The sequence below is a fragment of the Homo sapiens genome, chromosome 3, assembly GCF_000001405.40.
Source record: "Homo sapiens chromosome 3, GRCh38.p14 Primary Assembly".
In the NCBI taxonomy this organism is placed as follows: domain Eukaryota; kingdom Metazoa; phylum Chordata; class Mammalia; order Primates; family Hominidae; genus Homo; species Homo sapiens.
In genome coordinates this window covers 142,639,495-142,654,826 of record NC_000003.12, presented here as the reverse complement: position 1 = coordinate 142,654,826, position 15,332 = coordinate 142,639,495, and the positions used below count along the sequence as shown (strand labels likewise).

The 15,332-nt window shown below is 39.9% G+C and overlaps 1 protein-coding gene and 1 long non-coding RNA gene across 16 annotated transcripts in view; one reads left to right on the top strand and one right to left on the bottom strand.

Annotated features, from left to right (window-relative positions):
• PLS1-AS1 (PLS1 antisense RNA 1) overlaps window positions 1-15,332 on the top strand; it is a 60,902-nt gene that overhangs the window by 1,984 nt on the left and 43,586 nt on the right. The window lies entirely within an intron of this gene.
• Window positions 1-15,332, bottom strand: part of PLS1 (plastin 1) — a 117,272-nt gene that overhangs the window by 58,838 nt on the left and 43,102 nt on the right. For 5 of the 15 annotated variants that reach the window (XM_047448323.1, XM_011512901.2, XM_047448321.1 and 2 more), the window contains one exon: window positions 9,247-9,531. The exons of 4 other annotated variants lie outside the window; for them this stretch is intronic. The gene's annotated coding sequence lies outside the window, so the exon portion shown is untranslated. Of the gene's footprint in view, window positions 1-2,229; window positions 2,402-9,246; window positions 9,532-11,287; window positions 11,410-15,050; window positions 15,144-15,332 lie in introns of all 15 variants that reach the window. 6 more of the 15 variants (XM_047448326.1, XM_047448327.1, XM_047448324.1 and 3 more) reach the window with 5 other exon arrangements.

The window sequence follows — 15,332 nt, the reverse complement described above, 5'->3', positions numbered from 1 at the left end:
CATTCACTTACCCATTTATTTATTCAACAACAACTTATTGAGCACTTGTTTGCTGTACCTCTTTACTGTGCTGTGTATTGGAAGCACAAAGACTAATTTGACAGCATTCAAATTTTTTAATCCACATGTTTATACATGGTGTTTCTTCTAAATCTATCAAAATAATTTTTGTTGGGCCAGGGGCAGTGGTTCATGCTGTAATCCCCACACTTTGGGAGGCCAAGGCCAGAGGATTGCTTGAGGTCAGGAGTTCAAGACCAGCCTGGGCAACATAGTGAGACTTTGTCTCTACAAAAAAAGAAAAAAAATTTTAAGTTAGCCAGGCATGGTGGTACGCACCTATAGTCCTACTACTTGGGAGGCTGAGATGGGAGCATCACTTGAGCCTAGGAGTTTGAGGCTATAGTGAGCTATGATTGTGCCATTGCATTCCAGCCTGGGCGACAGAGCAAGATTCTGTCTCAAAAAAATAATAGTATTTGTAAACTTTTTCCTAATCATTTTACAAAGGAGTTAATGATATAGCCTTCATTCTTCCCTAGGTGAAGCTTTTAAGTTCTGATCCTCTTGTGCAAACACTAGATATATAAACAAAGAAATCTTCTAGCAAAGCAGAGAACAGACAGGGCTTACCTACATCCCCTCCCTACTGCCTCACCACACGGGCCGCCACCATGGTCATCTCCATGACCAGCCACGGTCATTATATTCCCATGCATTTGCAATTTGGGATGGCCTTCAGTGGCTGTCAGACTTGCCACCAAGACTTTTCTACTATTTACTTAAAAGCCCCAACATGTGGCCCCTAGTAAGGGAGTTTAAATTCATTCATTCATGTATTCAACAAATAAATCCTATTTGGCTGGGCTAAATGAAGATATAAAGATGGGTAAGAATCAGTTTCTCCTAAAACTATACTCATACAATATAGTGCTTATCAGGTTCAACTGTTAATGCCTGAAAAGTTTAATTTAAACTGATTTTTTGTAAATAGTACAATCTTATGATTATTGCTCTTTGATGAACAAATTAGAATCATCTTCTAATTCACTTTCTGTTTAAATCTGGATATAAAGGGGTCTCTTTTTATACTATATACACGTATTATAGGAGTTATTCAGCATATATCATATATGGCTTTGGGTTAGAAGTTTCTGAGCTAGGGCCAGGCATGGTGGCTCACACGTGTAATCCCAGCACTTTGGGATGTCAAGGTGGGCAGATCGCTTGAGCTCAGGAGATGGAGACCAGCTTGGGCAACATGGTGAAACCCCATCTCTACTAAAAAAAATACAAAAATTAGCCGGCCGTGGTGGCTTGAGCCTGTAGTCCCAGCCATTCTGGAGGGTGAGGTGGGAGGATCGCTTGAGCACGGGAGGTGTGGGTTGCAGTGAGCCGAGATCACACCACTGCACTCCAGCCTGGGCAACAGAGCCAGACCATCTCAAAAAAAAAAAAAAAAGTTTCTGACCTAATTGTAACCAAGACAATTGTATCATATAGAATGGTGATGTGAGAAGGCTAAAAGGGGTGGGTAAGAATATGCATATGTACACACATACTCACGTGCATGCGTTTAAAAGAAAACAAGAATAAGAGAAAGACAAAGACCAAAGACGTGAAGAAAACAGAAACAAGCTCTTGGAAAAGCATTTGGTATGAGAGAGATTCACGTTGCAGCAAAATTATCCTTTCTTCATTAAACCTAAGTGCAAGTCAGGGGCGGCAGTTACCAGAATAACAATGTAAAAACATGCAATGACTCAGCAAGTATTTGGTGAAGAAAAATATGGACGCGGACCCAAAAATTGGCTGTACAGAAGGACTTAGAAGAAATAACTTTCCCAAGGAAAGACAACATACTGAAATCAAAGCTGCTGGCACCACAGCTCTGACTTTACTTTTTAACACATGGGATTTGGTCACTCAAACACAGAGGTTCAAATGTTATTTGACTTGTGCAACTGAATGAATGAGCGTGCAGAGTTAGACTTGCTTACTGAATGGTTAAATCAGCATGCCAAAAACAAACAAGCAAACAAACAAAAACCAACAACAACGTAGCCTCTTCTCACAAGGCCTTTATCCCAGAGTTCTCCCCATTATCCATGGCTAACACCAAACAGGTGCTATTCAGTTTTGAAACCCAAACACTTCAAGTGATCAGTGAGGAAGTACATATTGAAGGGATGGCCTAGGCAAAGAGGGACAATGTGAAACGTGCCTCACCTTGGTTCCCCCGCCTCCTACTCTGTGCCCTCGGCTCCACTCAGATAGATGCGCTAATGGATTTGCCATGCCTCCGAGGACACAGGCACTGCTCCCTCACTGCAGCTTGTCCAAGGGGCACAAAAATCTTTGCCTCTTTGTTGGTAGAGCCAAGGTTAGTAAGTTTTCTTAGCTGGAAAATAGGAAACTAGATTAAAAGTATATATAAAAGGTGCAAAGTAGGATTTACTGACCAATGCACAATAAAAAGTAGCAATAGAAGACTGACTGGAACTATTTGTAGGGGTGAAAGAAAGGGAATGACTTAGTCCCCAGTACTTTCCTAAAGCCTTAAGTCTTCTCTAAATCCAACATTGGGTGAATATAGATAACCTGTAAGCTGAGGAAATTAGAATCTACGAAGTGGGAATCAGTTCTTCTGAGGACCTGCTGAACAATGATGCCCCACGGCCCCAAGCTCAGCAAGACTTCCAATCTACAGCCATGAACATTCTTGCTGGTTCCTGAAGTCCTGGATGAAGACAGAGGCCCCTCCCCATTTGACTCCCCAACCTTTACCCCTTCCTTAATGTGTCCATAATGCCTACCCCCTGGAAATCCCATCCATGTCTCTAAGCCTACAAGGGCCAGGCAGGAAGTCAGAAGTGTGATTCAGGCCTGGTAGGGGATTGGAAGGGCTCTGACAAGGAGCAGCCACTGCTGAACTCCTGTGGACTGTTGCCAAGAGAAATGAGGCCCAGGGTTGCCAGATCTTCTGATTTTTCAAAGAAAGTCAGAGATCAATATTTTTATGTGAAATTTGATTTTTAAGCTTTGGCAAACAATTTGAATTATTATAAAGCACTGTGTGTGCCAGATGAGTCCTTCAGTCTATTAAGTTTGGTTCCTCACATTCTTGATTCTGTTCATTCATTGGCCTCCCAGGGAGCCTTGATGGAAATGCTGTGTGTTTCTTTAGAAACACTCCCATCAGCTGGGCACAGTGGCACGTGCCTGGAGTCCCAGCTACTCAAAAGGCTGAGGTGGGAGGATTGCTTGAAGCTAGGAGTTCGAATCCAGCCTGAGCAAGACAGTGAGACCCCCCTTGTCTCCATCTCTTTGTTTTTTGGGTTTTTTTTTTTTTTTTTTTTTTTTTGAGACAGAGTTCCTTTCTTGTCATCCAGGCCGGAGTGCAATGGCACAATTTTGGCTCACTACAACCTCTGCCTCCTGGGTTCATGTGATTCTCCTGCCTCAGTCTCCAAAGAAGCTGAGATTACAGGTGCACATCACCATGCCCAGCTAATTTTTGTATATTTTTAGTAGAGACGGGGTTTCATCATGTTGGCCAGGCTGGTCTCGAACTCCTAACTTCAGGTGATCCACCTGCCTCGGGCTCCCAAAATGCTGGGATTACATGCGTTAGCCACTGTGCCCGGCCCTGTCTCCATCTCTTAAAAGTAAAGAAAAGAGAAAAGAAAAAAGAAAAAGAAATGCTTCTGTCAAATTAGCTCACTGAGGGCCAGAAGAAAACATTTGCTCTCTAAATTTGTCAAAACCCAACCTCAGTTTTATACCACTCATCATATTCCTGAACCCAATAAGGGGCATTTCCAATTGTCACCTCCTCTGAAAGATGAGGGGCCAGCAGGTCACAAGCCTATTAACCACAGAGACTTTCCCAGCTCAGGCAACTGGGCCTGCCTAGCATCCCAGGATCTTTTTCTTCTCATTTAGTATTTATATCCCATCTACTGTCCCCTACCCCTACTGCCACTTTAGGCCTTCTCTGGCTCTCTGGGAAAATTCAACACATGAGTATTACCCAAGTCCCCATCATTATAATGTCTGTATTAACACTTCGAGTGTAATTTCCTCAACATGTTTTATTTTCTCCTTCAGAAACTATTTCCCTTCTTCTGGCAACAGTCCTAACTTTAGTTCTGATGTTCCCCCTGTAATGATACATCCATGCCATTTTTGGCTGAGGTTCCAGGTCCAAGCCACGCAGCACATCATATTCCCCAGCCACAGTGATTTTGCTTTATGAATAGGCATAAAATCCAGCTGGAGCCAACAAGACGTAACAAGGCTTTTGTAAAGCGTTATATAATGAGAATCCCCACATGATCCCCTGAATCAGAGAGGAAGTAGAGGTCAGAGCAGCTGCAGCCATCATGCCTCCAACAAAGAGAGAACACAAGGCTAAGAAGAAGCCAAAACCAGACAAAGATTAGCCGGGCATGGGGGTAGGCACCTGTAGTCCCAGCAACTCAGGAGGCTGAGGCACAAGAATCATTTGAACCTGAGAGGCAGAGGTTGCAGTGAGGTGAGATCACACCACTGCTCTCCAGCTTGGGTGACAGAGCGAGACTCAGTCTCAAAAAAAAAAAAAAAAAAAAAAAAAGAAGAAGAAGCCAAAACCAACACTGCAGAAAACAAACAGTAAAGACAAGACACATTCTGGCAGGGTAGTCATGAATTCAGAGTCCTGAATCCCACTGTGGTTTTTTTCTTTCTTTTGGTGGTTACTCAAAACAATTTATTAAAAGCCATTTAAACTGGGTTTCTATTGCTTTGAGCAACAAGTGTCTAAACGAATATATAGAGACAAAAACAAACAATCTACATGAAGAAAATGGGAGGCAAGTCACTTCCTCAAAGGATGGAGAATATTTGGGCATTCTGAATTGGGAAAGAAAATTAACTATAATTATACTTTCCAAGTAAGTTTATATCTAGATAATAGGCACTACTTTGGTCATAATTTGTATTTTACCACCACCTCACCTAATCCCAGAAACTCAGTGCATCAGTGAACCACAGAAGTCAGTTTATAGTTGCTCCCACATTGATCAGCAGTATTAAAGATTATATTCATAGCCTAAGGGTCTCTAGACCTAGACCTATGACTGCTTTGTACCTTTTCTTCCCTTTCCCTTCATTCAGAAAAATTCTTCCTATTCACTTTTTTTTTTTTTGAGACAGAGTCTCGCTCTGTTGCCCAGACTGGAGTTCAGTGGTGCGATCTCAGCTCACTGCAAGCTCCATCTCCCAGGCTCAAGCAATTCTCCTGCCACAGCCTCCCTAGTAGCTGAGATTTCAGGCATGAGCCACCATGCCTGGCTAATTTTTTGTATTTTTAGTAGAGATGGGGTTTCATCATGTTGGTCATGGCTGGTCTCGAACTCCTGACCTCAGGTGATCCATCCTTCTCAGCCTCCCAAAGTGCTGGGATTACAGGCGTGAGCCACCATGCCTGGCCTTTTTTTTTTTTTTTTTTGACATAGGGTCTCACTCTGTTACCCAAACTGGAGTGCAGTATCATGATCATGGTTCACTGCAGCCTGGAACTCCAGGGCTCAGATGATCCACCTCAGCCTCCCGAGTAGCTGGGACTACAGGCGTGTACCACCAAGCCTGTGTACCTATTAACTTTTAATTCACCTTCAGCTAAAGCTGACAAAGTGAGTAGTAATATATTATGAGAAATGGGCAGGTCTTTCTGACATGAGGCAAGGCAGGGCAATCTAGCTGCAATGACATACAAAGTCAATAAATCGTTAAAATCAGGAAACTTCTAAAGTATTGCATGTAAAGAGAAAAAAGCAATTTACTTAGTATCTGAGAGTAAAAAATATATATATGTCCAAGATGTTTGCAGATTTATCCAACATCCTACCAAAAACAGGTACACTGAGTGGCAAGTCCCTTTAAGTTAGTTAGATTTCCAAAGTGGTGCCTGACCCAGGTCTCAGTAAGACCCACACTATAGTTTGCTGTGTGGCATGATAATGTGCTTTCAAAGCACAAAGGGAACAAGAAGGATGTATGGCAGACAATTCAGGAGTGAATGAAGCTGAAGAAATTAAAAACTCTCCATTCATTTTTGTACAGGCATTTTTATATATGGTCAGATATCTAACATAGGTACAGCTTCTCAAAAAAATTGGCCTGAAATAAACCTTATGTAGGAACATTAGAAATGAGAGCTTCTTTATCAAATCTATTTGTTGCTTTTATTATTGTTTTGAAGTTCCAGTTGACCATAATAATGTCACTATATTGCTACTCATAATCACACAAGCTGCCCAATTCTCTATTTTCAAATCCTGGAGGAGGAAAATATTCCAAAAACTGATGCCTCCCGCAACTGAATTTTCTCGTCTTTTTTAGTTTGTTCCATTAAACTATACTTCAATTTCCTTCATGAGATCACAGCCGCAACAATTTTAGTTAAACCTTTACCTATAGACTCCAAACCTTTCAACAATCTTGATTTCCCACTACATCCTGAAAAAGGCCTCCTCTTTCTCCTGAGGCCTCTTCCGTATTGTTCTACAACTTTCCTTCATGCCATTTCCTGTCCCTAGAAACTCTATTCTCTCACAGCCGTTCTTTACCCCCACTCAAAGCAAAGCTCAAATTCCACCATGAATTTTTTCCTTCATTGCCCTCATTTCATTTCAGAACAGATTTATTGAGAACATCTAAGGTGCTAGGTGTTGTGCCAAGTGTTGGAGGCAATCAAATGGTGACTCACACACAGACCTGACTCAAAGAGTTTACAACTTAGTAAGGGAGTCAATGAACCAAAGATGACAGCAATGGCAAACACATGACTCCCTTATCCACTGCAGACATCCCTCACCAATTGCAGTTCTTTCTCACTGAGCCTTGAGTGGTTCAGGATCCCTTTTCAACACAGTCCTCCACACAGCCCCTACTAGAGAGTCAGCTCTCAAAATGAACTAGAACCCCTGTACAGTCTAGAATGAAATAAGTAGGAAAGAAAGAATCATCTGACTAGAAGATTCAAGGAAGGCTTTCTAGAATAGGTACCAATTGGCTGAAAAAATGAATTGAAAAATGAACAGGCATGAGGTCAGGAGTTCGAGACCAGTCTGGTCAACATAACGAAACCCCGTCTCTACTAAAAATACAAAAAATTAGCCGGGTATGGTGGTGTGCACCTGTAATCCCAGCTACTTGGGAGGCTGAGGCAGAAGAATCGCATGAACCCGGGAGGCAGAGGTTGCAGTGAGCCAACATTGTGCCGTTGCACTCCAGCCAGGGCAACAGTGCGAGACTCCGTCTCAAGAAAAAAAAAAAAAAGAAAAGAAAAAGAAAAAGAAAAATGAACAGGCAGACTACAAAAGATGCAAACCCCAGCTAAGGGAGAAAAACCTTACTGGTCTTCCCAACAGACCACTCATAATCTGACAAATGGAGTTCTTGACTATTTATATTGTATTATAGCAACTTATCACCTTGTAATTTTTAAGTATAGAAGAAATATGATACACCATTATCCTAAAGAAACTCCTAAGGTGATAAGTTGATGCAATACAATATAGATTTTAGTTAACAACATCACTTTTAATTTCTCAGTGGCAATGATGGTGATGATTCTATTCAAAAAATGTCACTTCTCTGAAAGCCTTTAATTTTCCGTTAGTCTTTTTGACTATTGGTAATTTGCATATCTGGCACATGAAAAATCACCACTCCCATCTCCAAACACACCTACATGCTACACCTTGTATTTAGAGCAGGCCAACATTGGCCAACTTAAGGACTCTCCCTTTTTCCACCCGAATAGGTCAAAAATGCATTTCTTCTTATGTACCTTAGAAAAGAAGGGATATTCTCACTCCCTCCAAGCCATGCTTTCTAAGAAGGAATTTTCTATGACTTCCAGGACTCTTAGCTTCATCTGTGTTGCCTTACCTACTGACAGTGGAAAGATTTAATCTTCCTACTTGCTATTTGTACCAATTAAGGTATTTTCACTATAAGCAACAAACAAACCTGATTCTGGTAACATTTATCAAAAAAGGAATGAACTAGATTCAGGGCATTGACTCAAAGAATCAAGAGAGAGCTGAAGAAATAGACTCCCAAAGAACAGGCGCCAGACAGCTCCACAGAGCTCCACAGTAAGAACTATGATGTGCTGCTTTGCAGCACTGTCTCCAGATGCCTCTGCTGCTATCTGAGGATGACAGTCTAGTTCCCAGGATGTTGTGTGATTGGCAGAGCTTCAGCAACATGCCCATGCCTGTAGTAAAGGGATATCAGGAAGACAAGACCTAAAGCTATGGAGAAACTTTTTCCTATACTCATTTGCCTTCTGTAGTCTTTTTATTTGCATGAAGCAAAGATGAAGTTTTAAATCTGAATCCTAAGCAAATGCAAGCATGCCGTCCTAAGAATCTTCTCCTGACCTGAACTCATTGCATCCAATCAAAAACACATGAAGGTTCTATAAACATGGCTCATAAAATCTCCCCCTAGCTCCCTATCCAAAAAACACAAAAGACAGCACTCATGCCTCATACACAGTGGCAGTCCACACACAGCAAGTGAGACTTCCCTTACCCCTTTAATAACAGGCATTCATGGGCGTTCACTATAGGCCAAGCACTGTTCTAAGTACTACATGTATTGACTCATCGAATCTTCACAGCAACTCTCTGTGGTTGATATTATTACAGTTCGCACTTTAGAATTAAAGAAATTGAGACCAAAAGCTTCACATAAGTGGCAGAGCTGGGCTCTGAACCCAAGGAGTCTGCTAAGTCCAGATCCTTAATTATATAATACCTTCATATTGGTGGTCTCCATCAAGCCCCTTCCATGCCTACATCTTATGTTGTACCCCCTAAGACCTTCTCCTGTTAGAAGCTGCCCTAGAACCTGACTTGTCGGTACAGAACTGCCAGGGTGAAGTGTGGGCAGAATGTGACCTGTCTTATGATACTCAGGGAATGGATTAAAAGATTTAAATAAGCTTTGTGAAAATGACACAAATTTTTAAATCATATTTTTTTCCTCTGAAAAAGTACCTTGTTCCTATTTTCTATGTATTATTTAGTAACAGGAAATTATACATTAGAGATTATGCTCAGACTGTAACTCCCCATAATGACAAATATCTCATTCAGAATGAATGCCTCAAGACCAACACTAAAGAACTGTCAGAGAGCAGGAAGCTGTGAGTCATTTCCAAGTGCTCTGGAATAACCCAGGTATTACCTCCTGGTTTGTAATCCTCTTTCCTCCAGTTCTAGCTGGGAATTTCAATGCAAATCATTCACAGCAACACAAGAGAGATTCTGATGATCCAACTTGAGTCTGAGTGAGCAGAGGAGTCCTACCCAGCGTGCTTCCAAGTCAGAGTTTAAACTTTAACCTCTAAAACACTCATTGGTTAAAACTTGAAGTTTTTCACTCTTTACAGAGATTTCAAACAGTGCTTTTCAGAGTTGCAAGTCTGAGGTACTGCATTTTGCAACCTACACAATCCAACGCTGGCCTTCCCTATTAAAAGACAAAAGAAGGAATTGTCTTATACATGCATGTTTTTTCAAGGATTCATAGAAGTATTTCCTAAAATCCTAAGTTTTGATAGTTTATGGATTTGAAAAGGTACTGAAAAATATCAATCACAAAGAATGCCATAACAAATAATTAACTATCAAATTATTAACACAATTTACTTAAAGAATACAACTAATTAATAAATCTATGTTTTATAATTATTTTAATAGTCTGAATGCCACCACTGAATGATTCTATCAAACGGGTTAGAGTTTGGAAGGATTCCACCAAATAGGTTAGAGTTTTTCCTACTCGCAAAAGATGAATGCCCCTTAGGGAAACCAGATATTTGCCAGAGAACTATGAAGTAATTATACCTTTTGCTTCTGGAGGAGTAAAGTGGTGCCCACTACCAACTCTGGAAATTGTTTCTCACTAGTATCTTGGCATTAGAAAAATTGATAACTGCACTTCATCAAGCATTTTATACTTTCCAAAGCAGTTCCACATCCATTACCTCATTATTAGATGACGTTACCCTCATAAATGAATCACGACACTCAAGTTTAATGATTTCTAACAGTTATAAAGTCCCGTCAACACTCCTCACTCCACAATTAAGAAAAACAGCATTTAGATTGAGGGGTAAAATTATATGCTTCACATTCCAGAACAAGTCATTGACAATGCTGAGTAAGAGTATGCGCATCAAAAGAGGACTTTAAATAAAAAACTACTAAAGAAGTCAGGCACCGTGGCTCACGCCTATAATCCCAGCACTTTGGGAGGCCAAGGCAGGAGTATCGCTTGAGCCCAGGAGTTTGAGACGAGCCTGGACAACACAGAGAGACCCCATCTCTATGAAAAATAAAAATAAATTAGCCAGGCGTGGTGACATGCACCTGTGGTCTTAGTTACTCAGGAGGCTGAGGTAGGAGAATCCCTTGAGCCTGGGAAGTCGAGGCTGCAGTGAGCCATGATCATATCACTGCACTCCAGCTTGGGCGACAGAGTGAGACCCTGTCTCAAAAAAAAACAAAAAACAAAAAACCTACCAAAGAAAACCACTGTCATTTTACAGGCCTAAGAGGTTCAAGCCAAAATTAAGACATAATAGGCATTAATGTTTATATGCCATGGGTTGTATAACTTTAGAAATAAAAGAAGAGGTCAGATGCAGTGGCTCACACCTGTAATCCCAACACTTTGGGAGACTGAGGCGGGAGGATCACCTAAGGTCAGGAGTTCGAGACCAGCCTGGCCAACATGGTGAAATCCCATCTCTACTAGAATACAAAATTAGCTGGGCGTGGTGGTACATACCTGTAATCCCAGCAACTTGGGAGGCTGAGGCAGGAGAATCGCTTGAACCCAGCAGGTGGAGGTTGCAGTGAGCCAAAATCATGCCACTGCACTCCAGCCTGGGTGACAAGAGCGAAACTCCATTTCAAAAAAAAAAAAAAAAAAAAATGAAATGAAGAAATTAACAAGAGCAGAACTACTGTAGGAGATCTTAGCTGTTGATAGTTTTAAAGAGAATTCAACTAATATATTCTATAACTCCCAGATTATGTTCCTTATTTTCCTAAACTAAATCAAAGTTAGCTCTACGCATACTCAGTATTAGAAGACCAATGCTAGTTGTTATGTAGATCCCTCTCCATTCTTTGATGTATACTAGGACCCCAGAACTTATATAAGAGGAAAAACTGGACTCCTTTTGTCATCAGTGAGCGTAGCCTTGCTTCAGTCTTACCAGGGCTACTTCAGGAGGTACATTTCTGCTCGACCTTTCTCCATCCAGTATTTGGCTCTTATCTGATGCCCATCATAGGCCATAACCACAGCTTCAATGCATTCCTATCAAATACAGCCAACCTGGCAATGCATTTAACAAGAAATATCTTGCTTAAGACTTTGTGGAGAAATCAAGAAGAAAAATTTACTTTACACACCACTGGGCAAAACTGCAAAATTTCCTTTAACTGTTCTATCTTTCTCCAAAGCTCTTCTCTGCAAGAGAGCCACCTCCTCTCTGATCACTCTAAAACTCTCTACCCTGACACAACTCCTGGCCCTTCCTTTCTGGGCTCCAGTCTCCCCTTCTCCAAGGCCTTGTTCCCTCAACCTCCATCTCAACAGCTTTTCTTATGTTAAGGAATTTAATTCTTTCCTCAGCTTCTACAATTTGCAACCTCTCTCACCCATCATTGCCCTTAACAAATACAACTTCCACCTAAAGATCCAACTCTTTTGGGAGGCAATAGGAAGACAGCAAATAACAAAAGAAGGCTGGGAACAGGCTCATGCCTATAATCCTGGGTGGGAAATGGACTGGGTGAAGGATGGTGGTGGGGTAGGCAGATCACCTGAGCCCAGGAGTTCAAGACCAGCCTGGGCAACCTGGCAAAACCCTGTCTCTACAAAAAATACTAAAATTAGCCCAGTGTGATGGTGCTTCCCTGTAGTCTCAGCTACTTGGAGGGGTGAGGTGGGAGGATCACTTGAGCTCCCAGGAGGTCGAGGCTGCAAAGCTGAAAATATCACAGATCTATTCAAACTATATTTTTAAATGGCCATTAAGCTAAATGAAAATTAAAATAACAATGAAATATTAATACCATTGTTTTGCTCAGAAAATTAACCATACTTTTAAAGGGATAATAATCGGATAATATGTTCTGGGAAACAGAGACCCTGCCATATGGGGCACAGACTGACAGACCACACTGATGGGGTGAAAACTGGAACAAACTTTGTAGCACAATTTAGCAGCAATGGATTCAAAAGCCTCAAATTAACAAGGCTTTCTTCAAAAATGTTGATGAAACAATTCCATTTGTAGGAATTATTCTACAGAAGTATTCCAAAATGAGCAGAGAAATTTTGGTATAGATCTTTACTTCATTTTTACTTAAAATAATGGAAAATGAAAACAACCTAAACTTCTAAAAAATAGAGAATTTATTTAATAATATATGGTAAATCTCCCAATAAAAGGAATATCAGATAGTAATTAAAAATCATGTTCTCAAAGAATATGGAAAAAAATTCACCATATACTATCAGGTTTCCAAAAAGGAGATTATCAGTAAGTATAGTATATTCCCAACTTTGTTTAAAGTATACACCTGTGCAAAGAAAAAAAGACAGGTTAGACAGAGGTGACAAGGGAAACATGTAGAAATGTTTAATAAAATACAAATCTTTAAATATTTTCAATAGATACATGATCTAGAGCAAGCAAAAGAAACCTCCAGAGCCAGATATGAAGTGGGAAGCTGCATAAGAGTAGGGCAACACTCACAACTCAAGGGAGTGAGACCCTCAGATCCTGAACACAGCAGAAAGTTAGAAGTAGAAAAGAAAGGCCAAAACTGGGAAGAGGCAGTCCTGTCTGTAAAGTGGTATACTTAACACATACTACAGATAGAAAAAAACAAAAAGGCACCCAGGAGAAATCTGAACCCCAAAGCTGCCCTAGGTGTCAGGGGGAGCCTGAATTCACACCATCTCCCCTAAAGAAACCCAGAACCCAAGAAACCAACGAAACCATAAGGATCTCACAAAGGCAAAAGCAGAAGTGCTCTGTAGGAAGACCGCCACCACCCAGAGTACACACTGGACTCCAGCTGAAGATAGTGCTCTTAAGACAAAACTTACACAGACAAAAATTACGAACTGTAAGAATCCATCAGCATGAAAGTAAGAGACTTCCAAACTGGGAATCACAAAAAGGACTTTGTAATAAATATGTCTAAATTCTTCAGAGATTAAAACAAAAAGGAATTCATAAAAACAGAAAATGTTTAAAAAGAAAATTACATATCTTTTAAAAAGAACAGGATATATATATTCATACATATATATAAATGATAATAGGAGCTATTTTGGGGATGAGGGTGGTGAGATTATGAATGCCTTAATTTTTTTCTATATACTTGTATATTTCCAACAATGACCAAATATTACTTAACATAAATATATATATTATTTATCTATATATAATATAGATATATAGATAATACATATAATATATAGAGAGATATATAGATATATAGATATTATATATATCTATATATAATATAGATATAATATAGACAGATTATATATATATATAATATATATATATATATAATCACTCTGGGTCTCTGTCACCCAGGCTGGAGTACAGTGGTACAATCATTAGCTCATTGCAACTTCAAACACCTGGGCTCAAGCCATTCTCCCACCTCAGCCTCTCAAAGCTAGGACTACAGGCATGCACTACCATACCTGGCTAAATGTTTTGTTTTGTTTTTGTTTTTTGTAGAGACCAGGTCTCACTCTTTTAACCAGGCTGGTCTCTGTAGGCATGGGCTGTCACCAGGCCCAGCTCAAATATTACTTTTATAACAGACAAGAGAGGAAGAAAAAAAGTGAAGATTCACACTTAACTATTCCCATATGATGGCTAAAAAGAATTTTTGAGAAATGAAGGGCATAAACCTTGATAAACTACTACAATAAATCCAAACTGGCCTCTAAATGAATGCCCCTACAACCTAGCCAAATCCACATCAGACACCACCCAACCACACACTCCGTACCACATGCTGCAATCAAACTGAGCACATCAGCAGATCCCATACATGTTATTTTTAAATATTAACCCTCTATACATGCCCTTTTCCTGAAATTCTCTTCATCCTTTCTTCACCCTTTAAAGTCTTGGTAATCATTCCAGATCCAATGAAATACCATTTCTCTTGTGTAGTCTTCCTCAAATCCTTCAGCCTGAATAAGCAATCATATTACTCAGTGATGTCAAAGGAACTCACTGAGCCTTCTGATTAATGCCATTTTGCACACAGTACTTTCTGTTCATCCTGCCTTCATCAAGGACTACACATTCTTGGAAATAAGAGACATCTTTTTTCAAGTTATCTCTGAAAACTGTCGAAAGCATTATTTATCCATAGTTGTTGCTTGATAAAAATTTGTTGTATGAACCCAAGTACAGAAAGTCACTAAAACCCTACCAAAAGATAAATTCAAGAAAATCATCTTCTTAGTTCATTTTTTCTCCCATACCTTCAGAGAAGTGAAGTAGATTCATCTGCCTACTGTTTGCTTATATCCACTTAAACAATATACATTTCAAATAATATTAGCAGGATTTTAAATTCTTCTGGTCTTGTATTGTTTCCTGTCTCTGACATGCCATGTATGTAATCACACTTATTTCCTCTATTGTATAAAATTCTCCCAGTCAATTTTAATCAATAGCTTAAAATATTTTCCAATGAGCAGTCTGCAGCAGACTTGGTTTTTCGAGGCTTCGTTAGACACTTGAAATACATGTAGAACTAGTAATATAAAATGGCTCTCAATTCAATTCAATTAAGTAAATAGTTTATGACTGCTTAGTGTTTAACACTATGTCAAACATCATAGGGGATATAGAAAAAAATATTAGATTTATTCTCTACACTTAGAAAGTTTAAATTCATTCATTTATTCATCCAGCCAACACTTACTAAGAACTGCCTGTGCACTCAGTCATATGCTAAGCACTGCGAAGGGCATCAAGAAGTTTAATTTCTGGTCTAGAGATTCCACGAGCTTTCAAACTAGTTGGGGGATGTAAGAAAAACAAATTAGTAAGCTAAACAGCAATGTTAGTATAAGTGTAATCAATAAAATTCACCATCTGGTACAGTCTAGACACAGAGAATTAAGGAGGTGAGATGAAGAAGAGGTGTCCGTATATTCAAATGATACAGAAAGTATTCAAAGGAGAAGTAGGAATTGGAGAAAAG